Here is a 26887-nt window from a genome sequence, read left to right on the forward strand (position 1 = left end):
GGCAGTACTACTCTTAATTGAAGTCCCTGATGTCTCCCAGGTGTTTCTTACATTGCTTGGTCTGGGCCTCCTTGTTGTTGACTTCTTCCTGCCATAACATTCGGAGAGAGCAGAGGGCCATGGTTCCCCTCCTCAGGAGGTGGCTCCTGATGCTCTTGAAACTCCTGCTTTTCTCTGTGGTCCCCTTCCGGGTCTTCACATTCAAGTGCTCTCACCCAAGACTTTCTTTCTTTCTTTCTTTCTTTTTTTTTGAGACGGAATTTCACTCTTGACGCTCAGGCTGGAGTGCAATGGCGTGATCTTGGCTCAGTGCAACCTCCGCCTCCTGGGTTCAAGTGATTCTCCTGCCTCAGCCTCCCCAGTAGCTGGGATTACAGGCGCCCGCCACCACGCCTGGCTAATTTTTGTATTTTTAGTAGAGATGGGTGCCAGGGTGTGCGGGGGCTTCATGCACAGCTTGTAGCACAGCAGCGAGATAGTGGTCCAGGCTGATGAGGCAGAGATTGAGGATGGAGGTGCTACACAGGCTGGTCTCGAACTCCTGACCTCAGATGATCCACCTCCCAAAGTGCTGGGATTACAGGCATGAGCCACCATGTCCGACCTCACCCAACTCTTTCAACATGACACTGAGCATTCTACAAAGATGACTTTGAAGAGGGCCTGTTGAGGTTGGCATGGAAGCAGCAGCTCCCACGCTTCGGTGAAGCCCGTGTCCCCAGTCTTCCCCTCCCCAGGGGACCTGACTCCGCTTTCATGTGTATGTCTCTCTTTTCAGAGGTGTGAACATGTATGCCATGTTGACCGGGACGCTGCCTTTCACGGTGGAGCCTTTCAGCCTGAGGGCTTTGTACCAGAAGATGGTAGACAAAGAAATGAACCCCCTCCCCACTCAGCTCTCCACAGGTAATGCACCAGCTGCTCTAGATCACGGTTCAGGACTGCTGTCGTGACCAGTTCGGGTCTACCTGTGAAACAGTATTTGTTTTGCAGTAATGGTGTTATGTCTATCCCATGGTTATAAGTTTCTTTCTAGTGTTAAATAGAAGTGTCAAGGGGTGGTTGGGTTTCCCGTCTCTCAATGGCCACTCATGCCTTTCACCTGTATCCTTTCCTGTTCTGTTCTATCTGAACCCCTAACTTCTCCTTCCTCCTTCTGCACAAAACACGTAGATCCAAAGGATCTGATATTCTCCATTTAAAAAATGATTGCAGGCTTGATTGTTTTAAAACTCACCATCTTATGATGCTGACTTGGAAAAGAGGGTTTATGGTCGCATTTCCAATATGGCTTCTTTCTGCAATTACTGTCAAGAAATGTTTGTTGCATTCAAGTTGGGGCTGTGATTTGTTTTGTGAGTTGAGGTTTTGAGCCCGTTCAAAAGCTTTTAAATATATAGAGGTTAAGTTACTTGATTGGACTGAATCATCAGGTGTGTTTGAAAAGTTCTCTCAAGCTTTAGCTGGTTCACATTTCAGTAAACAGTTTGTATTAAGGTTTGGTTTCAGATCCAGTAAATCAGTACAATTTGTTCTTTTGTTTGGTTCACAATTCAAGTCCTGGCCTTGGCTTGGCTTTGATGAGCATTTAATTGGCTCCTTAGAATAAACTCAGCTTCACTAAGATAAGGCTTTTGACCAAAGAAGAAAGCAGTTATTTAACTGCAACTTATGATACTTAGCGATAGTTAAAATATAGCATTTTATTTTACTACTGTTATGCATTTTTCTTCTGAGTTTAAAAGCATGCATGAAGCTGCCCCTGAATTTATCTTGGCAAGTGGAATCCAAGTGGAGACACGTTCTTGTATGCAATTATCTAATTCAGCCCATACTGTCACCTCAAGGGAGGGGAGACTCTCTGGAGGCTTGAAAGCAAAGGAGGCATTAAGTCCTTGGGAAGATGAGTTACAGCTCTGTCATTATACAAGAAATATTTCTGCACTGAGAGTCATAACTCTTGGAGTTAGAAAATGTGCAAAATGTCAAACCAATTGTCATATTTAAGTTTTAGAGCTTTCAGAAATGTTGAAAGTGCGGCAGAGCACTCTGAGGTGTGCCCATTCATTCATTCATTCCATATTTCATACTCATTAGCTTATTCCGTGAATATGTGTTGTGCACCAATTATGTGCTAGGTGTGTTCTAGATTAAGCAAGACAGAGAACAAACCAGTCTCTACCCTTATAAAGCTTATATATCAGCAGGGGAAGCTAAAAATAAATAAATGGGTAATAAACATGTGTGGTATTTGGTAATGTTAAGTGCTCTAAAGAAAGTAAAATAAATTGGGACAAGGGGATAGAGAGTAAAAAGGTTTTTTTTTTTTTAACAAATAAGATTATTTTAAAAACTTTTCATTGTGATGTAATTGTAGATGCACACACAATTGCTAGAAATAATACAAAGAGATCCAAACAGCCTTCATCTGGTGTACTAGTCCATTCTCATGCTGCTAATAAAGACATACCCGAGACTGGGTAATTTATAAAGGAAAGAGGTTTAATAGACTCACAGTTCCACATGGCTGGGGAGGCCTCATAATCATGGTGGAATATGAAGGAAGAGCAAAGGGACATCTTAGATGGTGGCAGGGAAGAGCGCTTGTGCAGGGGAAATCCTATTTATAAAACCATCAGATCTCGTGAGACTTATTCACTACCATGAGAACAGCATGAACTGCCTCCATGATTCAATTATCTCCACCTGGCCCCGCCCTTGACATGTGGGGATTATTACAATTCAAGGTGAGATTTGGGTTGGGACACAGCCAAACCATATCACCCAGTTTCCCCCAATAGTAATATATTGTATAACTGTGGTATAATATCACCACTGGGAAATTAACATTGATAAAACCCATTGACCTTGTTCAGATTTCACAAGTTTTATGTACAATCTTGTGTGTTGCTGTATATTAGTTCTATAGAGTTTTTTCACATGAGTAATTTGTGTGACAGCCACCACAGTCAAGATGCAAGACAGTTCCCTCACAAGGATCCCTCGTGCTGCTCCTCTGTAGCCACAGCTACCTTCCTTCCTCCTGCTCTCCCTAAGCCCTGTCAGCCACTACCCTGTATCATCTATAATTTTGTCATTTCAAAAATGCTATATGTAAATCACTTTTTTTCCCACTCAGCATAATTCCCTTGAGATAATCTGAGCTGTTTTTTTTTTATTGGTGAGTAGTATCTCCTGGTGTGGATATACCGCAGTTTGTTTCACCATTTACCCACTGAAGGACCGTTGAGTTGTTTCCAGTTTGGGGCTATCATGAATAAAGATGCTGTAAACATTCATGTTTAAGTTTTTCTGAGAATATGGTTTCATTTCTCTGGGACAAATGCCTAAGAGTGAAATTGCTGGGTTGGGTAGTAAGCACGTATTTAGTTTTGTAAGAAACTGCCAAGCCTCTTTTTCAGAGTGGCTGGACCATTTTGCATTCCCACTAGCAATATGTGCATGATCTCTGCATCCTTGCCAGCATTTGATGCTATTATTATTTTTTATTTTAGTTGTTCTGATAGGGGTCTAATAATATCTCATTGCAGTACAAATAAGATGTGATGTTTCCAAATAGATGCAGTCTTTCAAAGCAGTCTCTGTAGGGGTTATATAGTCATAAATATTGCCATCTCTCAGAGTGATTCCAAAGTTTCTTTGAGGGTTCAGAGCCTGTTTTATTCAAGTGACCCATAACAAAGGACAAAAGGAGGATGAATGTACCCCCACAGTGGGGAAAGGCAGACAGTGCTCTCTTTGAACCCGATGACAGCCTGAGGAGCTGGAGAACTGCTGATCTGCTGCCATTTCATTGTATTAGTCAGAATAGACCAGGTTATGCTGCAGTAACAATCAGCCCCCAAGTCTTAGTGGCTCAGGACCACAAAGGTTTATTTCTCAGTCATGCTACATCTCAGTTGAGAGCTGGATCAAACATTGAAAGGTTCTGCCCAGCCAAGGGCCCAAGGCTGATGGAGCAGCCACCACTTCCAACATTTCTGGTTCATGCAGAGGGAGAAAGGGAAAGAGAAAGAGAAGTTCTTTCGCCAGCAATTAAATCTTCCACCAATCTTCCAGTTGTAAGTGGAAGCTTTCTAAAACATGGCATGCGGCTTCACCCAACTAAAGAGAATGGGGCAGTGCAACCTTACCATGTGCGTTGAAAGTGAAAAGCCAGAAATATTTGTTGATTAGCATTAGCATGAGCCCCACACAGCTGTGGGAAAAGGAGCAGACAAGCGCAGGTAGGTTAGTAACACAAGAAAATCAATCTCATTGCTTCAGAACCATACCTTGTTTTTACTTTCAATAACATCACGCAGTCTTAGCAGGCTGGGCTCTAAGTGTTTTTTGTGAAAATTAAATTTAACCTTAAAGAAGCAGGAGTTGCAGTTCTGAAGATGTTAAAAAATGGTCCAAAGTTAGTCCCAAAGGAGACATATTAAAAATGTTCCCAGCAATTTCAGCATCACTGGAATTGCTGTCCAACCTCGCATAGCTCCTGCATTGAGCAGACAGCTTTGCCTTGGCCTTAAGCTCTGTGTGTGCTTGTTAAAGATCTTCACATTCCTACAGGACTTTGTTGTCTTCACTTGTCAAGCATGAATTGCATTTCTATATCTGATTTTCTAATTAGGGAATCTGATGCTCTCCCCATCTCCTCCTTTTTAAAATAACTATTGGGATATAGAAATATCTTTTTTCAACTAGGATTGAAATCCTTTGAGCCAGGTGTCAAGTGAGGTGTTTGCACATGATAGACACTCAGGGAATCTAGGTTGCTGACTCTGGTGTTAATGTGTCTGTGTGACCTGGAAAGGTGGCCCATAGATTATTTTGATTACTCAGGATTGGGAATTGTCCTGACCCAGTAGGGCCCAGAGCAGTGCACCAGCTGCTGAGGCAGCCCAGGGCATCTTATCTGGTTCATAGAGTGAATGTCTTCAGGTTTGAGGATCAGCTGCTGCCCTTCTGACAGCCTCCCATTTTTTCAATCCTTTGCACCCCGCTAAGTTTATCTCCTCTCCCTTCCAACCAGCCTGGCCCTGCTTATATCCAAAAATACTAGTTTACCAGTAACATGAGTAGCTGCCACTTATTGAATAATCCTTTGTAGGTGTTTTTCATGTGGTGTTGTTTTTATACAATCCTGCAAGGTAAGTCCCTGTTTACCAGTGAGGAAATTGAGTCTCAGAGAGATTAAGTCTGCTTGACTGAAAACCTAGATTTTCCTACCATGCTGTGTTATTTCACTCTTCTCTGATTTTATTTAGTATAAGACGCACCCCCCCTACAAAAAGTTGGAGGTATTATCTATTGTCTCTATGACCTTATGTTTTGAGTAATGTCAATCCAAATAGAAAATATGCCAGTTTTATTGTGTCTCACTAATGCACATCTTTATTAATTGGATGACTCTGTCATTCATATTTGTTTTTGTTTTTGTTTAAGACAAGGTTTCACTGTGTCATCCTGGCTGGAGTGCAGTGGCACAATCATGGCTCACTGCAGCCTCGGCCTCCGAAACCAAGCAGTCTTCCCGCCTCAGCCTCCCAAGTAGCTGGGACTGCAGGCGCATGCCACCATGCCCAGCTAATTTTTTTTGGTGGGGGGTATATTTTTTATAGAGAGAGGGTCTCCCTATGTTGCTCAAGCTGGTCTTGAACTCCTGGGCTCAAGCAATCCTCCTGCGTCGGACTCTCAAACTGCTGGGGTACTGCACCTGGCCCTGTCACTCATATATGTAATGATCATATCTATTAATTCTTCGGCTCTTTTTAAAGATTAAGTTGGAAGAATTTTTACCAAACTTGAGTTGAAAACAGCATTATTGCCCTTGTGAATCCACAGAACATGCTTCCAAAGAACTGCCCTTCATTCATCTCTGTCATGCCGTTTGCAAACTTAAGCTTCGAGGGCCTTTCTAAGTCTCTCTTCTACACACTTTCTTTTTGCTTGTTGGCACTTGTATGTCACAGAGTAGCGAATGCCTTTTATGGCTGAGCAGTTTTTCAGACTGTTACCTTTTCATCACTACACCTCAACACTAGCATTTATAATACATTCCAAGCAGTCACTTCAGGTTATGATGGTTTTGTGCTGTGAATTCTCCAAAGTCAAACTGGAGGAGAAGCGTTAGCTTTTATGAGGGTTGAGTCAGTGCTAATTACGATGTCCAAGAAGGCACAATGATCAGATTATCAAATAATTTTTTAGCTTGGGAAGTGATGAGGAGGGAGCTTCAAGTGGGGAGGGGTCTCTATTTGCATCTATCAGGCTACACTAATGTGAAAAGTCTGATGACAGACCTGCAGCCCTTTCACTTGGTACAGTGTTCAGGTGCTCACACAAGCCAGTCCAGACTTTGGAAAGCTGATGGTTCATGAAAGAAAGTGGGGTTTGCGATGGAGGAAGGTGTTCTGTGTGTTACGTTGAGCAGGGTGGTACTATTTTTCCAGGCTTCAGTGGAGAACCTAAGTGTTATCTCAGAGGGGTGGAGGGTGGCGTGTGGCCTGTGGCCATGCCTGGCATGGCTTTCCAGGATGGTGAGGAATATTTTAATCTCTTTTGCCCATAAGGCAGGGGTTTTCAGGACCCTAAAACAAACTTCAAAGAGCTCTAAGGACTTCTCAAAGTCCTTTTTGGATAGTAATGCAATGTCTGTGACGTCCAAAGGAAGAAAATTCGTCAGCGGAGATTTGAACTAAAATTACTTGTGCTCATCAGCAGTTTTTGAAGATGCAGAGCGCTCGGTTATGAAAATAGAACAAAAATGCACATCTAGTTTGTCCTTAGCACTTCTGGTTCATCATACTTTGAAAAAGCCTGGCCTGTTGCCCAAGTCTTTTGAGGCAACCCTGGGTTGTTGCCCAAGTCCTTTGAGGGTAAGCAACAGCAATGTCTCAGAAAACATTAACTCAACAGCCCACCCGCTCCAATTCATTAAGCCCTCATCTTTTTTATCTGACCAATAGATGCCCCCAGTTAAGATCTAAATGACTCTTCCAATGCAGGGTTGTTAAAGGAAGGGAGATAGACATTCTGAAAAGCAGAGATCTGTTTGATTTTCGGGTTATTATAGAACATGGATGGAGCTGGAGGCCATCATCCTTAGCAAACTAACACGGGAACAGAAAACCAAATACCGCATGTTCTCACTTAGAAGTGGGAGCTAAGTAATGAGAACTCATGGACACAAAGAGGGGAACAATAGACACTGGGGCCCACTTGAGGGTGGAGGGTGGAAGGAGAGAGAGGAGCAAAAAAAAAAAAAACCTATTGGGTACCAGGATTAGTACCTGGGTGATGAAATAATCTGTACAACAAACTCCCATGACATGAGTTTACCTATATAACAAACCTGCACATGTACCCCCGAACCTAAAGTAAAAGTTAAAAAAAAATTTTTTTTAAAGTACGTTGCTGGAAAGTTTTAGCTGAGTATCCAGCGATAACACTTACAGTGGTAAATGTACCTCATGGCCTCTACACATGCATTTCTACCCACCTCACTGTTCTTTGTTTTTCTTTTTTTTTTTTTTTTTTTAATTTTGAGACGGATTCTCTCTCTCTTACCCAGGCTGGAGTGCAATGGCGTGATCTCAGCTCACTGCAAACTCTGCCTCCTGAGTTCAAGCAATTCTACCACCTCCGCCTCCCGAGTAGCTGGGATTACAGGCATGCACCACCACACCCGGCTAATTTTTGTATTTTTAGTAGAGACGGGGTTTCGCCATGTTGATCAGGCTGGTCTTGAACTCCTGACCTCAGGTGATCCACTCACCTCGTCCTCCCAAAGTGCTGGGATTACAGTTGTGAGCCACTGCTCCTGGCAATATTTCCTTTTTTCAAAATTTCAGTACGTATTTGAGGAACAGGTGGTGTTTGGTTACATGGATAAGTTCCTTAGTGGCGATTTCTGAGATTTGGGTGCATCCATCGCCTGAGCAGTGTACACTGTACCCAATGTGTAGTCTATTATCCCCTGCCCCTCTCCTACCCTTCCCTCCAAGTCCCCAAAGTCTATTGTATCATTCTTATGCCTTTGCACCTTCATAGCTTAGCTCCCACTTACGAGTGAGAATACACAATGTTTGGTTTTTCCATTCCTGGGTTACTTCACTTAGAATAATGGTCTCCAACTCCATCCAGGTTGCTGTGAATGCCATTAGTTTGCTCCTTTTTATGACTGAGTAGTATTCCTTGGTGTTTATATATATGACATGTATATATATATGTCACATTTTCTTTATCCACTTGTTAATTGATGGGAATTTGGGCTGGTTCCATATTTTTGCAATTGTGAATTGTGCTGCTATAAACATGTGTGCAAGTGTCTTTTTCATGTAATGACCTATTTTCCTTTGGGTAGATACCCAGTAGAGACTACCCACTATTGAAAGGGAGATGACCTGGTAACCTCTTCAACAGTATGGGAACCCACCCTGGTGGTGGGTTGACCATGGAGGTTGACCTGGCTGCATGACCTAGCAAAGATTGTTTCTCTTGAGTTGATTCTGGCATCACAACTGGCCCCTTTTTTGATGGCCTCATTTTTACCCTGCAGAAAATGAGTTGACAAAAGGCTCAGCATTTCCTCAAGAACAATGTTCAAATGACAACTTAAAGCTTTTGAGAAAGTAGGACATTTTATGGCTTCTCCTTGCAAAGAAGATTACTTTAGAAAACTGAAAAAATAACTTTGAAGAGAAGGATAGAAAAATCGGGGGACCAAGCACATTATTATTTTCTGGGATCTATTATTTGGTATGTTGGAAATCAAGTACAAAGCTACGTAAAAGAATTCTTCATATTGCAAAAACATTACCGCAATACTTTGTAAAATAAGGGCTATAGCATAAGAAAAGATCACAGTCCCACAACTCAAGCAAGACAGACCGTCTGCATTTTGAAGTCATCCCTGCCATTCTTTGCCCACATGTGGGTATGCTGTATATTCTTCTGCTGAACAATTTTGCAGCCTTAGAAGGGCCTTCATGGGTTGGGTGTGGTGGCTTACACACTTAATCCCAACACTTTGGGAGGCTGAGGCAGGAGGATCGCTTGAGCTCAGGGGTTTGAGACCAGCCTGGGCAACATGGCAAAACCCCATCTCTACCAAAAAAATAAAAAAAGTATCCAGGTGTGACGGTGCATGCCTGTAGTCTCACCTACTTGGAAGGCTGAGGTGGGAAGGTCACCTGAGCCAGAGAGATCAAGGCTGCAGTGAGCCATGATGGCACAACTGCACTCCAGCCTGGGCGACAGTGTGAGACTCTGTCTCCAAAATATAAAAAATAATGAATAAAATAAATACAAAATAAAAGGCTTCGTGTGCATTATAAACGCATTTTTACCTCTCATACAGTTGTTTCCGTTGTTATAATCTTAAAGGATGCAAATGTTCTGCTTAGAGATGAATTAGCTTCTTATCTCCAGTGCTTGAATGGACAAGTGCTCTGTAAATATTTGTGAAATGAAAGGAAACCCAGGGCATTTAAAACATTATTTTTGGCCAGGCGTGGTGGCTCAGGCCTATAATCCCAGCACTTTGGGAGGCTGAGGCGGGGAGGTGGGCGGCGGTGCAGAATGGCTTTAAAGGAAAGGATCAGAAAGCAGGACCTCTCTGGCCCCTTGAGACTCTGAGTGTCCTGTGGTGCCCAGTTGAGAGGTCTAACTTAGGATGCCTGTACACTTCTGGCTTCTCCCTGAGTGCTCAAAAACCTACCTTGCGAGCAGGCATTTTCTGTTTATTTTCTTTCATTCCTACAAGCCTGTCAATAGTGCATCTCTTTGGCTCACCTATGAGCAACAAGAAAAGACCACAGGTTGTCTTGGGAAACACGGAATGGGGAGACCCAAACTGGTTCTTGCTGTATCATGTACCAGTTGCTCCCCTTGGACAGAGAAATTAAATTCTTTGGCTATGTGGTGTGTATTTTTTAAAGAGAGAGAGGGGGAAATGGGATTTTCCACACCCCTCCTGTCTGAAGGGAGGTGGGGCTGAAACCAAGCTCCACGATTCATTGAATCGGAACCCTGCCCAGAGACCTAGAGAAGAGATCACCCCAGCAGTGACTCGGGATGGGCAGGCAAGGTGGCGAGTCCCCTGTGATGGTGGCTTTCACTGGTGTCTGCGTTCAGCCTGTAACATGCGTGCATTCTTTCCCAAATGTCTCCCAGGTGCCATCAGTTTCCTGCGCTCTCTCCTGGAACCGGATCCTGTGAAGAGGCCAAATATTCAGCAGGCACTGGCGAATCGCTGGCTTAATGAGAATTACACGGGCAAAGTGCCCTGTAATGTCACCTATCCCAACAGGTAATTTCGTGCACCCAGAGGAACTCCTCGGGAGAGACGGGGCCTGTCCTACTAGCCCTGAGCAGTTCCGGACAGAAAGCTGTCCGTGATTGAAGGAAAAGCCGCGCTCTCTCTTGGCTATCTCCCCTTCCCCCTAACACCCACACCCACACATCCACAAGAGGAAGCGTAGACAGGGCCACCATGTGCTGTTATGCCGTGTGCCCTGCAGGGGCACCTGGAGGAGAGGTGAGTGGAGGCTGATATCCAGGCTTTGAGGGTCTGTATCTTCCCAGGGGTTGCCTTTTTCTAGTTCACACAGAGGGACCTTTGAGACTAGCTGTGGCCCGAGTGTGTGTGTGTGTGTGTGTGTGTGTGTGTGTGTGTGTGAGAGAGAGAGAGTGAGTGTCTATGTCTGCTTGGGTCTCCATGTGCATGGGTGTTGTGTCTGTGTGTGTGTATGTGTTGTGTGTAAATTTGTGTGTGTGTGTGTGTGTGTGTGTGTGTGTGTATGTCTTTGTTTTGTTTTTTTAATACATAGTCTGGCTCTGTCACCCAGGCTGGAGTGCAGTGGCGTAATCTCAGATCACTGCAACCTCTGCCTCCTGGTTTCAAGCGATTCTTATGCCTCAGCCTCCTGAGGAGCTGGGATTACAGGAACGTGCCACCACACCAGGCTAATTTTGTATTTTTAGTAGAGACGGGGTTTCACCTCTTGCCCAGGCTGGTCTTGAACTCCTGACCTCAAGTGATCCGCCTGCCTTGGCCTCCCAAAGTGCTGGGATTTCATGTGTGAGCCAACGTGCCCGGCCAGTCCTTGTGTTGTGAGTGTGTTTGCGTGTGTGTGATCAGCTCACGAGCCCACCTGCCAACATCAAACAGAAACATGGGATCGCCCCTCCCTTTCCAAACCACCCTTAGATGCCTTCTTCTGCCTTGTTCTTGATGTTTATTTCAGCCCTAAGACCCCTGCCTTAAAATGTGGGAGGCAGGAAGGAAAGGCATAGGAGTCATTCGTTTTAGGCCGGGTGTCCCTATGAACTTTCCGTGAAGGCTTCACTTTATCAGTTTCCATGAGGAGGGTTCTTTAAGCAAAGCTTGCAGACAGGAACCCACAGCATAGGAGCACTGATGGGCTCCCTGTGCAGCCCACGCTTCTCCATGCTGGTGCGCTAACTACAGATTAAAAAACATTTCTCTTTTTTCTTTTTTTTTTTTTTGAGACAAAACCTTACTCTGTCACCCAGGCTAGAGTGTAGTGGCATGGTCATGGCTCGCTACAGCCTCCACCTCCTGAGCTCAAGGGAGTCTCCCACCTCAGCCTCCTGAGTAGCTGTGACCACAGGCATGAGCCACCATGTCAGGCACATTTTCTATTTTTCTTCAGAGACAGGGTTTTGCCATGTTGCCCAGGCTGGTCTCAAACTCCTGGGCTCAAGTGATCCTCCTGCCTCTCAAGGTGCTGAGATTACAGGCTTGAGCCACTGTGCCCGGCCAAAAACATTTCCTTGTATATTTTTTTCTACTCATTTGTCCTATTTCTAACTAACCTGAGCGAGGGAATGAGGGCCCTTATTTTGGCTGTTTTTGAGCAAACAAGGAAACCACGTGGGTTCAGTACCTTCCAAGACTGGGACCCACCTTCCTTCTTCCTTCAGACCTAGGGTGGCTTGCACATTTGACCAGGCTTGGATGAAGACAAGAGAACCACTGACCCAGAGGGGCAGATAGGAGACTGAAAGGGCAGAGAAAGGGGTGTCCTGTGTGGTCATAGGTTCAATGCCTAGGAAGGTCTAGAAACACCCACCAAGCCTTATGAAAGCAGAAGTGCTGAGTCCTTCAAAGAAGATGGCCAGGCAGGGCTCTGCTTGGGATGGAAGCTCTAGAAAAACTTTAAAGGGGCGTGGGAGTCTGCATCCACACTTCAGTGCCAAATTTACACTCACCGTGCCCAGAGAGGAGGTGGTTTCACTCCGTTGCCATCTAGAATTCTAGCATTTGGCTCATGGGAGGTAATTTAAACAAAGTCTAGGTGACTTAGGTTACCAAGGGAACCTGGAAATAGATTGCTGTTTTCCAATAACAGCTCGATGTGGGCCAGGATCTGAAACAGACACCAGAAATACTACTCCAAAGCGAGGCAGGGAGCAAAGCTGAAAGGACCTTGCCTCATTATCCATACTCATGATGGAGAGCAGCACGCAGGTATGCTTTCTGTTAAAGGAGGGGGCCTTGCTGGTGGCCACATGAGTCATTAAGCTCATGTAATCACCGCCTAAATGAGCATAATCAATCCACTCAATGCGGCAACTGTTGAAGGAAGTGGAGTTGGTGTTAGACAGTATTTCCCCTCCTTGTTGGCTGCATCTTCATTCACAAAGAATTACGAGGCGACATCTCATTTTGTAGCTTTCCCACAGTTTGCAGACAGGCTTTGATAGATTAAAACTTATAAAACAGGATAGGCAACTCCTATCCTGTTGTTGCCAGATTATTGTAATGGTTTTTGCATTTGGACTTGGTCAGAAGCATAATGGCTGCACATGAAACTGGTTAAGTGGATTGTAAAACTGGCTGAGATCTCACATGCTCAGGAAAACAGCACTCAGTGTCTTCTGTGTGTATAAGGCCCATTGCTGATTTTACACTAGAGGCAAATCAGTGTTTGGTTTTTAAGCGTGGAACCAGAATTCTTTTTCTTTATTTTTATTTATTTATTATTTATTTATTTTGAGACAGAGTCTTGATCTGTCGCCCAGGCTGGAGTGCAGTGGTGCAATCTCGGCTCACTGCAACCTCCGCCTCCTGGGATCAAGCGATTCTCCTGCCTCAGCCTCCTGAGTAGCTGGGATTAGTGCCACCACGCCCGGCTAGTTTTTGTATTTTTAGTAGAGATGAGGTTTCACCATGTTGCCCAGGCTGGTCATAAACTCCTGGCCTCAAGTGATCCGCCTGCTGCAGCCTCCCAAAGTGCTGGGATTATAGGCGTGAGCCACCACCGTGCCTGGCCTGGAACCAGAATTCTAGGCTGTTGGGGGAGGTACATGTTATTTACAGTGTTTATTTTGAAAAACATTTATCTTTAAGACAAAAAAAATGTATTTTTTATATTTATTTTTCTGGTTTTACTGGCATGTAGATAAAGGGAGTGAGAACATACAAACAGAGAAAGGGATATTTTCTTTATAAAGTATGTTTTATAGTTTCCCAACATACCTAGCCCCAGATGTATTTTAAGTGTTGTCAATATTTTTCTTTTGAGAAAGTTAGGAAAATAAAGGTCTCGTATTTTACATCACTCTTCTATAAAGCCTTCTCCTGTGAAGTCATTTCAGCCTCCAAGTTGATCTCTAAAAGCAAAGAGGGAAATGTCTTTGGAAGTAAATTTTTTATAAATAAATGTTTATGCCAGTCAGTCAACAGATGTTTGCTAGGTGCCAGCTCCCCTCCTGATCCAGGTGCAGACTTTTTTTTTTTTTTTTTGAGACAAGTCTTCCTTCATAGCCCAGGCTAGAGTTCAGTGGCGCAATCACAGCTCACTGTGACCTAGAACTCCTGGGCTCGAGTAACCTTCACGCCTCAGCTTCTATAGTAGAGGGACTACAGGCATGTGCTACCATCGCCAGCTAAGTGTTTCTATTTTTGTTGTAGAGATGGGGGTTTTTCTGTGTTGCCCAGGCTGGTCTTAAACTCCTGGCTCCAAGCACTCTCTGTGCCTCAGTCTCCTAAAGTGCTGGGTTTCAGACTTTTGTACAGAGCCAAGCTTGCTGCCTCTTTCTGTCTCCCTGCAGGGGCCTGGACAGTCTCTCCACCCCTCCAGTTAGCTTTGGAACTGGTGGGAGGGGAGGAGGTCGCAGGCAATACAGGACAGAATTAGACCAAATTAGATCCATGGTATCAAAATGGATTGCATGTGAATTTGCTCAATTCAAATTATATCTAGTATTCTGGAACATTGTACCATTCTCTGTGTCATCCAAACATGAAGCCATATACAGATTGGTTAAGTGATACTTGAAAGCATCAGGTTTATGCATGGTTTATAGGAAAACATTTAAACTATTCCTCTCAGTCCAGAGTCAGTTGACCATTTACATTTTGGCAGAGCTCGTTTTTGAAGATACTGGACATAAAAGGCAGAGATGGGGTGTCTGCCCCTGTGCACACCTCTCCTTTCCATGCTGCTGACTTTTCTTCCAGAACACCCCATACCCTCGGCGGGTGCACTGCTCTTGGGATTCCCAGGTATTTCCAAACCACTGTTCCCTCTGCATTGTTTTGGTAGACCTCAAGTAGTTATTTTAATAAACAAACTTGTTATTAATACACTTTTTAAGCCAGTAATCGTGCCAATCCCTCTCCCACATGTTATCTGGAATGTGTAATTTTGTGACAAACAGGAATGAGGAAGGCTGATCTCATTGTTTGTTGGGTGTGTTTTCATTTGTTTGTCTTTTGGGACAGCACTTAGGCAAAAGTAGTGGAGGGAGAACTGATGTAGGTTACACCGACCGGTGGCAGGCAATGGTCAGGAGACCTCGTTCTGCTCTCGGTGCCCCTGCCAACCGGCCGTGTGCAGTGGGCAAGTTCTCTTCTTACAGAAGAACTTGCAAAGTCTCCTCTTCTTTACAATTATGGGGCTACCTCTCTGGGCATTATGGTTCTGAGGTTCTATCCAAATGTCTTCAGACCCCTTGACATGGAGGCTAGTGGCTCTCCAGCCAGATAACTTGCCTTCTGCTCCGATTGCCCTCTTTGTATCACTCTTTTTATTTATTTATTATACTTTTATTATACTTTTTAATTTTTTTATTATACTTTTAAGTTCTAGGGTACATGTGCACAACGTGCAGGTTTGTTACATATATATACATGTGCCATGTTGGTTTGCTGCACCCATTAACTCGTCATTTGCATTAGGTATATCTCCTAATACTATCTCTCCCCCTTCCCCACCACAGGCCCTGGTGTGTGATGTTCCCCACCCTGTGTCCAAGTGTTCTTATTGTTCAATTCCCACCTATGAGTGAGAAGATGCGGTGTTTGGTTTTCTGTCCTTGCGATAGTTTGTTCAGAATGCCATCATTCTTTGTATCACTCTTAAGGGATTTAGAATGTTCTTTTGACACAGCCCCACTACCAACACATACACTCCCTTAGAGCCCTCCCCCTGATTTCTCAGTCTCCATAGCCATTGGATGATGGTGATGGTGGTGGTGATGATGATGATGATGATGATGATGATGGATGTGTCTGTTTATTTGGGAAGCAGTGAGCATCTAGACACTGAACCCGGCTGCCGGTTCTTAATTCTAGGGCTGTCACTTCCTGCCTGTGTGACCCTGGGCAAGGTACTGCATTGCTGTGGGCTTTGGTTTTGTTATCTGTAAAGTTGGGGTCATGATAGTACCTACTCATAGGACTATCAGGATGACTAAGTGAATTTACATCCTCTCTTCCCCACTGGGAGGGTGAACAAATGAATGCGTAGATGAATGAAGCCCGGTATTTCTTTGCCATTTTATCCCAAGGAGTTTATCTTCACAGTCCCCTTGTGAAGTAGCTTTAACTCTCTTCCTCTGAGAGGACCCCACTTTGCCGCTGAGCCCTGAACCCCCCATGTATGAACTTATGAACTCTTTCTGTTCCCCTAAACATGATCTGGCTAGTTCCTGAATACCTTCCTTTTCCACCCCAAAATCCAGAGTCAGAGTGGCTTCTGTCCATGACAACCAATACATTTTAAGGAAAGAATGTGTGATCATAAGGAAATCTGGGGGACAGTTGGGAGATTTGAGTATAATCTGGGTATTAGATGCTATTAAGTGATTATTAAAATTTTATTGGGTATGTTGATGGTATTGCGGTTCTGTGGGGGACATCTTTGGTTTTTGAAGGTGCACACTCAAGGGTTAAGGGGTAAAATGTCATGATGTTTGTAATTTAAAATACTTCAGCAAAAAAAAAATGCAAGGATGGCAAAGTGATCACTGGTATATCTAGATGATGGTATACATAAAGTGATTGTACTATTCCCTCCGCTTTTCTGAATACGAGAACATTTTCAAAATAAAAACTCAAGTCAGTGAATGAATGAGTGAATGAATGAAGCTGATTGTGCCCAGGGGGTCTGTGTGGGGCTCTCCGTGAAGTGCAGGGGTGACTGGTCCTCTCTCTCTGCACCTCGCAGGATTTCTCTGGAAGATCTGAGCCCGAGCGTCGTGCTGCACATGACCGAGAAGCTGGGTTACAAGAACAGCGACGTGATCAACACTGTGCTCTCCAACCGCGCCTGCCACATCCTGGCCATCTACTTCCTCTTAAACAAGAAACTGGAGCGCTATTTGTCAGGGGTAAGTGCGACCCTAGAGGCGATCGTCTCTGCTGTCTGTGGAAAAAAGAGCTCCTACACCCAAAGTGCTTCTCAGTTGCTGACACTTGATCCAAGCTGCTAATTTAATCTAATGTGAGGCTGAGTTTTCTGAATGTGGGATAAAGTCGTAGCTAAACCTGCTTCTCAGGGAGTGCCTTTTATCTGCAATGTTTTTCAAATACTCTCCCACCGAGTTAAGCCCTGGGCAGAATTGGGAGGGGTTCAAGCCTCTTTTTCCTTCAACAGCATCTCTGTTGTCTTTTTTTTTTTTGTTCTGCTGCCTCTTAGGTCTTTGGGTTCCCCATGTTGGAGGCATTGGAGGGTTCTCTGGTCCTAAAACTCGGGTAGCAGTGCCTCCCGGGCATTTGTCTCTGAACTATGGTATTATATATGAGAAAGCCACTATTTAGGTTTAACTTCTCCAGAAAATAAGAACAAAATTGGACTTGCCTGGCCTGACTCTGGCACCTTCCCTCAGTCTGAGTGTCAGAAAGTCCAAGTGTCTGGTGTCACCCGCGAGGTACCTTTGGGGTTTCCACAGCGTGGGGTGGATGGTGGGACCCTGACACCCTGTCCCCTTCATCATTTTTGCCACAAGCAGTTTCTGTGTGCCTGAGTAAGAGAATTTATGTGCCTTAAATTGTCTCTCTCCAAATGGACAATGGCTTAAAAAGAATTCTGCAAATTGGATCCAAGACAATATGGAGTCTGCATACAGCAGCTCATGCTTTTACTCAGAATGGTGGGTGCTGACCAGCTCTAACAGGGAGTCAGCCAAAGAAATTCAGAATTGCCAGGAAGCCTATCTGAAATTTGACTGAGTGTTCACTTTCACGAGGGACCACCTTCACCCTGGGCCTGTTGCACCTTGACATCTGATGGCGTGGAGTTGTCACTGTTAGGAAGACATTTACCATCCAGAACATGTGCTATTGAAGTCACGTGATAGCCCAATATGTCACCAAATTTCACTAGACAATAGGCTTAGAAACCTTTTTGAGGTTTCTATATGAGAGCTAAAGATGAAAATCTACCTGCAGTTGGGGAAATGATATTCTCGCTGGCATGGTGGAGATGACCAAATTAATACCCGGAGGACAAGGTAGTCAGTGTGTGTCTTTTGTTAGCAAATGGATTTGGGAGCCGTCTAGAAAACATTGCTGAACAGATGAAGATGCTCCACGGGAGGTTGGTTAAACATTTGGATGAAAGTACAGATGTTTCTAAGCTGATTTAGCTCAGAATATTGGCTAGATTGTGCTTCCATTGTGCTTCCGCAGGAAATTATCCACAGAACTCCTTTGTTTTTGTTTTTGTTTTTTTGTGAACCACCAAAGGAAAGATCTACATGAGAAGAAGTACTCTCAACAATAAAGAGATTTAACAATGTTTTATGGGGGAAAAAACGTGGTCTGTATGATGGGGTGGCACCTCTCTGATGGGGACAGAGTCAACGCTTTGAGTTAGATTTCACAGATGGTGTCACTGTGGCTGCCTTGCTCATAGAAAGCTACTGGAGAAGAGATGTCAAATCCAGAAAGACAGGACTTTCAACATATAGTATACTATTTATTTTATTTTATTATATGATGAGGAGAGATTCAGAAAATCTCTTGTATCACACAGCAGTTCTCTGTTCTCTCATCACAAGGAACATAAAAGACATACTGGACTTGAAGCTGTTTCTCTCTCATTTCTCTTGTTTTAATTGTTTTTTGAGACTTTTTTTTTTTTTTTTTTTTTTTTGGAGACGGAGTCTTTCTCTGTCGCCTAGGCTGGAGTGCAGTGGGACGATCTCGGCTCACTGCAACTTCTGCCTCCCAGGTTCAAGTGATTCTCCTGCCTCAGCCTCCTGAGTAGCTGGGACCACAGGCACGTGCCACCACGCTTGTCTAATTTTTGTATTTTTAGTAGAGATGGAGTTTTGCCATATTGGCCAGGCTGGTCTCAAACTCCTGACTTCAAGCGATCCTCCTACCTCAGCCTCCCAAAGTGCTGGGATTATAGGCGTGAGCCAAAGCACCTGGCCCTCTTTTTTTTTTTTTTCTTTTGAGATGAGGTCTCACTCTGTCACCCAGGCTAGAGTGCAGTGGCATGATCTCGGCTCACTGCAACATCTGCTTCCTGGGTTCAAGTGATTCTCCCACCTCAGTGTCCTGAGTAGCTGGGACTACAGGTACGCACCACCATGACCAACTAATTTTTGTATTTTTGGTAGAGATGGGGTTTTGCCATGTTGCCCAGGCTGGTCTTGAATTCCTGAGCTCAAGCAGTCTGCCCACCTTGGCCTCCCAAAGTGCTAGGAATACAGCTGTGAGCCACCATGCCCGACCCCATTTCTCTTTTGCAAAAAGACTATATTCCCCAAACTTCTTTCTCATACTTTAAAATTTCTATTTATTATATATCTTATAGCGTACATGATATATTCGTACAATGTTACATGCTTATAATTTATAAATATGCATATGTTGCAGGTGCCTGCTTACAAGTTTGTCACACATAAGGGATTAGGGTCATAGCATTTGGACACCACCATGCTATAGAGGATGAAAGTTAAGAATTTAAATAGTCTTCAGATAAAAGGAAGAAAAGAGGGTTAATGCACTGGTAATCTTTTTCAGGTGATGAATACTGTTCAAAACTTAGTTATTCAAATGTGTTTTCATGAAACTGACTATATTATAAAGTTCATGATTTTGCTTATTAGAGAATGACATTGCTACTTTCCCAAGTAAGTTAACAGTTCCAAACATTTTTCTTTTGGTGGAACTAGTTCTTCAGGTGCTGACCAAGTAAGATGGAGGGGTGTTAGGTTTTAAAAAACTGTCCTATGTTTACTTCCACATTTAGAGATACAAGCTTTTGTGATTCACGCTCTTCTTAAACAAATACATAGCTCATGCCAAGCAAGAGAGACATTTTATCTGAAGCTTTTTTGTCTTTTAAAACCAAACCAAAACAAAACACAACAAAAAGAGTCTCACTCTGTCGCCCAGGCTGGAGTGCAGTGGCACAATCATGGATCACTGGAGCCTCGACTTCCTGGGCTCAAGCCATCCTGCTATAGTCCCAGCTACTCAGGAGGCTGAGGCAGGAGGATCGCTTGAGCCTGGGAAGTCGAGGCTAATTGTATTTTTTGTAGAGACGGGCTTTCGCCATGTTGCCCAGGCTGGTCTCTAACTCCTGGGCTCAAGCAGTCCGCCCGCCTAGGCCTCCCAAAGCGCTGGGATTATAGGCATGAGCCACTGCACCTGGCCTGAAGCTCTTAGACTGTGTCCTGAGGTGCCTGGGTGTGTTGCCAGCTGCTGCATTTCTGCCTGTCTGCTTTGCCCAGCATCCAGGCTGCAAGTGTTGCAAAGCAGAGTGTGGCTTTGTCATCTGAGAACATTCTCTGGAAACTCAGCTGGTGTCATTCTAACTGGAAAAGGTTTGGGGGTTGTTTTCAATTAAATTTATTTAATTGACCAAAAAAATGGTATATATTTATCCTGTACAACATGATGCTTTGAAATATATATACATTGTGGAATGGCTAAATCAAGCTAAATAATATATGTGTAACCACACAAATTTATCATTTATTTGTGGTGAGACCATTGAAAATCTACTCTCTTAGCAATTTACAAGAATAAATACACTGTTATTAACTATAGTCACCACATTGTTCAATCATGTCTTAAATTTTTTTCCTCCTGTTTAACTGAAATTTTGTATCTTTTGACCAATATCTCTTCTGCCCACTTTCCCTCATCCCCTTCAGCCTCTGGTAACCATCATTCTACTCTCTACTTCTGTGACCTACACTTTTTAGATTCCATGTATAAGTGAGATTGTACACTATTTGTCTTTCTGTGCCTGGCTTATTTCACTTAGCATAATGTCCTCTAGGTTCATCCATATTGTCAAAAATGACAGAATTTCTGTCTTTTTAAAGGTTGAATAGTATTCCATTATATATAGGTACCACACACTTTCTTTATTCATTCATCCGTTGATGGACACAATAGCCATTTCCTGGCTATTGTAAATAATGCTGCATTGAACATGGGGTGGGGGTGCATATGTGTCTTCAACATACTGATTTCATCTCCTTTGAATATAGACCCAGAAGTGGAATTGCTGGATCACATGGTAGTTCTACTTTTAATTTTTTGAGGATCCATACTGATTTCCATAATGGTTGTACTAATTTACATTCCCACCGACAGTGTGCAAAGGTTCTTTCTTCTCCACATCCTCTCCAACATGTGGTATCTTCCATCTTTATGATAAAAGCTGTTCTTACAGATGTGAGGCAGTATCTCATTGTAGCTTTAATTTGCATTTCCCTTATGATTGGTGATGTTGAGCATACCTATTGGCCATTTCTTTTTTTTTTTTTGAGAGGGAGTCTCGCTATGTCACCAGGCTGGAGTGCAGTGGCGTGATCTCGGCTCACTGCAACCTCTGCTTACTGCAACCTCTGCCTCCTGGATTCAAGCAATTCTCCTGCCTCAGTCTCCTGAGTAGCTGGGACTACAGGTGCACACCACCATGCCCAGCTAATTTTTGTATTTTTAGTAGAGACGGGGTTTCACCATGTTGGCCAGGATGGTCTCAATCTCTTGACCTTGTGATCTGCCTGCCTCGGCCTCCCAAAGTGCTGGGATTACAGGTGTGAGCCACCGCGCCCGGCCCCTATTGGCCATTTCTATGTCTTCTTTTGAGAAATGTCTTCAGATCCTATGTGCACTTTTTAATTGGGTTGTTTTCTGGCTATTGAGTTGTTTGCATTCTTTTTTTTTTTTTTTTTTTTTTTTTTTTGAGATGGAGTCTTGCTCTGTCACCCAGGCTGGCGTGATCTCAGCTCACTGCAAGCTCCGCCTCCTGGGTTCACGCTATTCTCCAGTCTCAGCCTCCCAAGTAGCTGGGACTACAGGCACCTGCCACCTCACCTGGCTAATTTTTTGTATTTTTAGTAGAGACAGGGTTTCACCGTGTTAGCCAGGATGGTCTCAATCTCCTGACCTCGTGATCTGCCCACCTTGGCCTCCCAAAGTGCTGGGATTACAGGCATAAGCCACCACGCCCAGCTGCATTCTTTATATGTTCTTTGTCAGATGTATGGTTTACAAATATTTTATCCCATTCCATAGATCTCTTTACTCTGTCGATTATTTCCTTTGTTGTGCAGAGCTTTTGAATTTGATGTAATTACATTTGTCTATTTGTGCTTTTGTTGCCTGTGCTTTGGGAGTCATGTCCAAAAAATCATTGTCCAGACCAATGTAATGAAGCCTTTTCTGTAGGTTGTCTTCTAGTAGATTTATAGTTTTGGATCTTGTTTGTTTGTTTATTTATTTATTTTTTGAGATGAAGTCTCACTCTGTCACCCAAGCTGGAGTGCAGTGGTGTGATCTCAGCTCACCGTGACCTCCACCTCCTGGGTTCAAGCGATTCTTGTGCCTCAGCCTCTCAAGTAGCTGGGACTACAGGTGTGCACCACCATGCCCAGCAAATTTTTGTATTTTTAGTAGAGACGGGGTTTCACTATGTTGGCCAGGCTGGTCTCAAACTCCTGACCCTGTGGTCTGCCCGCATCGGCCTCCCAAAGTGCTGGGATTATAGGCGTGAGCCACCGCACCAGGCCTGTCTTCTTCTTTTTTTTTTTTTTTTGAGATGGAGTCTCGCTCTGTCACCAGGCTGGAGTGCAGTGGCGCGATCTTGGCTCACTGCAACCTCCGCCTCCCAGCTTCAAGCGATTCTCCTGCCTCAGCCTCCTGAGTAGCTGGGATTACAGACGCCTGCCTGCCACCACACGTGGCTAATTTTTGTCACGTGGCTAATTTTTGTATGTTTAGTAGAGATGGGGTTTCACCAAGTTGGCCAGGATGGTCTTGATCTCTTGACCTCGTGATCTGCCCACCTCTACCACCCAAAGTGCTGGGATTACAGGCGTGAGCCACCATGCCCGGCCTGGGCCTAAGTCTTTTTTTCTTTTTGAGATGGAGTTTCATTCTTGTTGTCCAGGCTGGAGTGCAATGGCGAGATCTCCATTCATCGCAACCTCCGTCTCCCAGGTTCAAGCGATTCTCCTGCCTTAGCCTCCCAAGTAGCTGTGATTATAGGCATGCGCCACCATGCCCAGGTAATTTTGTATTTTTAGTAGAGATGGGGTTTCTCCATGTTGGTCAGGCTGATCTTGAACTCCCAACCTCAGGTGATCCACCTGCCTTGGCCTCCCAAAGTGCTGGGATTACAGGCATGAGCCACTGTGGCCCGGGCCTAAGTCTTTAACTCATTTTGAGTTGACTTTGCAGATGGTGTGAGACAGGGTCTGATTTCATTCTCTGTGGATGTCCAGTTTTCCAACACCATTTATTTAAGAGGATCTCCTTTCCCCATTCTGTGTTCTTGGCAGCTTTGTCAAAAAGTAATTGACCGTAAGTGCATGGATTCATTTTTGGACTCTCTTTTCTATTCCATTGGTCTATGTGTCTCTGTTTTTATGCCAGTATCATGCTGTTTTGGTTTCTATAGCTTTGTGATGTGTTTTGAAGTCAGGTGGTGTGATGCATCAACTTTGATTTTATTGTTCAAAATGACTTTGGCTATTCAGGGTCTTTTGTGGTTCCATACAAATGTTAGGATTTTTTTTTTTTTCTGTTTCTGTGAAAAACGTCATTGGAATTTTGACAGGGATTCCATTGAATCCGTAGATTGCTTAGTATAGTATGGACATTTTAATCATATTAATTCTTCCAATCTGTGAACATGGAATCTTTTCATTTACTTGTGTCTTCTTCAATTTCTTTCATCAGTGTCTTATAGTTTTCAGTGTACAGATCTTTCACTTCCTTGGTTACATTTATTCCTAAGCATTTGATTTTTTTATGGCTATTGTAAGTGGCATTGCTTTCTTGATTTCATTTTTGAATAGTTTGTTGTTAGTGTATGAAAACACTATTGATTTTTGTATATTGATTTTGCATTCTGCAACTTTACTAAATTCATTTAGTAGTTCAAACAGTTTTTTGGTAGTCTTTAGGGTTTTCTATATATAAGATCGTGTATCTACAAACAGGGACAATTGAACTTCCTTTCCAATTTTGATCCCTTTTATTTATTTATTTATTTACTTATTTATTTAGTTTAACAATTTCCCAAATATTTTTATTTTTATTTTTTCTTCAACTTTTATTTTAAGTTCTGGGGTACATGTTTAGGATGTGCAGGTTTGTTACATAAGTAAACATGTGCCATGGTGGTTTGCTGCACAGATCAACCCATCACCTAGGCATTAATCCCAGCGTTCCTTAGCTATTCTTCCTGAGGGTGCCTTTGATTTCTTTCTCTTGCCTAAGTGCTCTGGCTAGGACGTGCAGTACTATGTTGAATAGAAGTAGTAAGAGTGGGCTTCTTTGTCTTATTCCTGAACAAGTTGTCTATGGGGATTAATTCACTCTAGTTAGAAACACCTGCTTGCCTAGAGTGTGGATTCTCAGACCAGTTGTGAGTTTTATGATGTCTGTTTCACATTTAATGCTTAAATCATAGGGCATACCTAGTCTGAGAATCCATACTCTAGGCGAGTGGCTGTTTTTAACTGGAGTGAATTAATCCCTACAGACAACTCAACTGCTCAGTAATTTCTGCACATGGCTAATTTAATTGTACTGTATGCATTGTCCCGGTTATTAATTTTATCAACCAATTATTTACACCCCGTGTATAATTTTGAAGCCCAATCTAGTGAACTAAAAAGTAAAATGTTATCTCTTAATTGTCATCTCTTCCCTTCTCTTTTGGTTTCCTCTTTTTAAAACCACGAAGTTCGTATTTTAAGATAGAGAGCCTGTAAGGGCATTTATTAACTATTTGTTGGTTGATTAATTAATTAATCCATGTTTTTATTTCACCCATTTCCAGACAGGATTGCACCTTCCTCAGCTTAGGTGCAGCTGTTTATCTTCTTTGAGCTATGTTATGAATTGTTATGGCTTTCATTTGGGTGGTGGTAGTGGGGAGCAGTGTGTACATGTGTGTTTGTGTGTGTGTGTGTGTGCACTGTTTTTTGTTTATTTTTATTTTTATTTTTTTGAGAGACAGAGTCTCACTCTGTCACCCAGGCTGGAGTGCAATGGCACGATCTTGGCTCACTGCAGCCTCCACCTCCCGGATTCAAGTGATTCTCCTTCCTCAGCCACCTGAGTAGCTGGGACTACAGGCGTGTGCCACCATGATTGGCTATTTTTGTATTTTTACTAGAGACAGGGTTTCGCCACGTTGGCCAGGCTGGTCTCGAACTCCTGACCTCAGGTGATCCACCCGCCTCGGCCTCCCAAAGTGGTGGGATTACAGGTATGAGCCACTGCACCCAGCCGTGTGCTGTTTTAAAATAAAGCAAACAAGCAAGATCTATGTTCTATGCAGTGGTTCAATAAAATAAGTTATTCTTTCCAGCTCATTTTCTTGGTTTCTCTGTTCGTGTTTTTGAGTAGTCTTACTGCACAGATAAAAGAACTGAGGCCCTGCAGGGGGCAGTGATCTACTCAGGGTCACCTGGCCCTTTACTGGCAGCGATAGTAACACAAAGTAGGTGACCTGACTCTGCGCCCAGGGCTCTCCCCACACTGCAACCTGCCTGCAGGCCTTCCTGGGGTGAGACTTGATGTTGCAATTTACTGGACTGCCAAACATTTCCAGCATTCTCTCAGCCAAGCGCTGGTTTAAAAATTAATGACTGCTTAATGGGCATTTCTATTTCTGAGAGTTGAGCTGTGCTTTTTCTTTTCTCCTCTGGTAGAAATCTGACATCCAGGACAGCCTCTGCTACAAGACCCGGCTCTACCAGATAGAAAAGTACAGGGCCCCCAAGGAGTCCTATGAGGTGAGTGACCCCTGAAGCAAACCTCAGGGTCTCTTAGGAAGGGTGGATTTCCATTTGCAGTAATTGGAAAAGAAACCAATTACTGTGGGACACTGAAGTAGCAAAAGACACATACTTACGCTCATAACTGAGCCCTTGAGAAATGGTTTACAGCGGAACCAGCTTTGCGGTGTCTAAACCATGGTTCTCAGCTGTGGCTGCATGTTAAAGTCACGGGGAGCGTTTAAACATCTGGATGCCCAGGCCGCACCTGGGACCCATTCCATTGAATCTTGGGAGGTGAGACTCGGGTATCAGGAGTTTTTAAAGCTCCCTGGATGTTCCAATGAGCAGCCAAAGTTGAAAACCACTGTCAGGATCTCCCAAAATGAAAATGAGATGTTTCAGTGTTTCACTCATATGTGAGTGAAACTAGCAAAAATTGATCTCATAGAAGTACAGAGTAAAACTGTGGTTATTAGAGGCTTGGAATGGCAGGGGGAAGGGAGGGTAGAGAGAGGTTGCTTAACGAACATGAAATTACGGCTAGACAGAAGGAATAAGTTCCGGTGTTCTGTGGCACTGTAGGGTGACTATAGTTAACAGTAACTTATTATGTATATTCAAAAAGCTAAAAGAGAATTTTGAATGTTCCCAATAAAAAGAAATGATAAATATTTGAGGTAATAAATATGCTGATCACCCTGATTTGATCATTACATATTGAATACATAGATGGAAATATCATTCTCTGTCCCATAAAAAAGATGTATAATGATTATGCGTCAACTAAAAATAAAAGGAAAAAAATGCAAATGCTAGAAAAAAATGAGATGCTTAAAAATAGAGCTGAGTGTAACACGTGGCATCAGAAGAAAGTGAGATGAGGAACGCAAAAGTTTGGGATCAGGCAGGCTTTCCTGGCCAGCTGTCCCTGGTGACCTGATGTAACCTGGGACGTACCTAGAGAAAAAGAACACAACTCTGATTTCAGAATAAAAACTAGGCTCCTGTAGCAAACATCCCACATCCATGTTTGTTAGGAAACTGTGTCTGTGAATTCCAGATCCAGGGAGGGGGCCAGGAGTGGGGTGCAGCCTCAGGGCCCCTCATTCACTTTTTGCCAAGTGAGCTTTTCTTTCTCTCAGTGATTTTCCTGGGAACCACCTTCCCTTTTCCCTCTGGAGCCTGTTTATGTCCCCTGAGTGTCCTTGCCACAGGAACCTCTCTCCTGGGACACCCAGGTCTATTAGTCTGTTCTCACGCTGCTAATGAAGACATACCCGAGACTGGGTACTTTATAAAGGAAAGAGGTTTGATGGACTCACAGTTTCACATGGCTGGGGAGGCCTCACAATCATGG

At 43.6% G+C, this 26887-nt stretch overlaps 1 protein-coding gene across 2 annotated transcripts in view, besides 1 other annotated feature; it reads left to right on the top strand.

The window, feature by feature from the left end:
- HUNK (hormonally up-regulated Neu-associated kinase) overlaps nt 1-26887 on the top strand; it is a 131045-nt gene that overhangs the window by 85045 nt on the left and 19113 nt on the right. For both annotated transcript variants that reach the window (NM_014586.2, XM_011529537.3), the window contains exons 5-8: nt 779-906; nt 10186-10321; nt 16491-16653; nt 25462-25545. In NM_014586.2, coding sequence (NP_055401.1) covers nt 779-906; nt 10186-10321; nt 16491-16653; nt 25462-25545 — 511 coding nt within the window. The remainder of the gene's footprint in view (nt 1-778; nt 907-10185; nt 10322-16490; nt 16654-25461; nt 25546-26887) is intronic.
- Nucleotides 16482-17006: an enhancer, noted in NCBI's record as "NANOG hESC enhancer chr21:33346858-33347382 (GRCh37/hg19 assembly coordinates)". NCBI's record gives its function as "activates a minimal SCP1, AML or CMV promoter by ChIP-STARR-seq in naive H9 embryonic stem cells {active_cell/tissue: H9 hESC(naive)}" and the evidence as "EXISTENCE:reporter gene assay evidence [ECO:0000049][PMID:30033119]".

The sequence above is a fragment of the Homo sapiens genome, chromosome 21 (genome assembly GCF_000001405.40).
Source record: "Homo sapiens chromosome 21, GRCh38.p14 Primary Assembly".
In the NCBI taxonomy this organism is placed as follows: domain Eukaryota; kingdom Metazoa; phylum Chordata; class Mammalia; order Primates; family Hominidae; genus Homo; species Homo sapiens.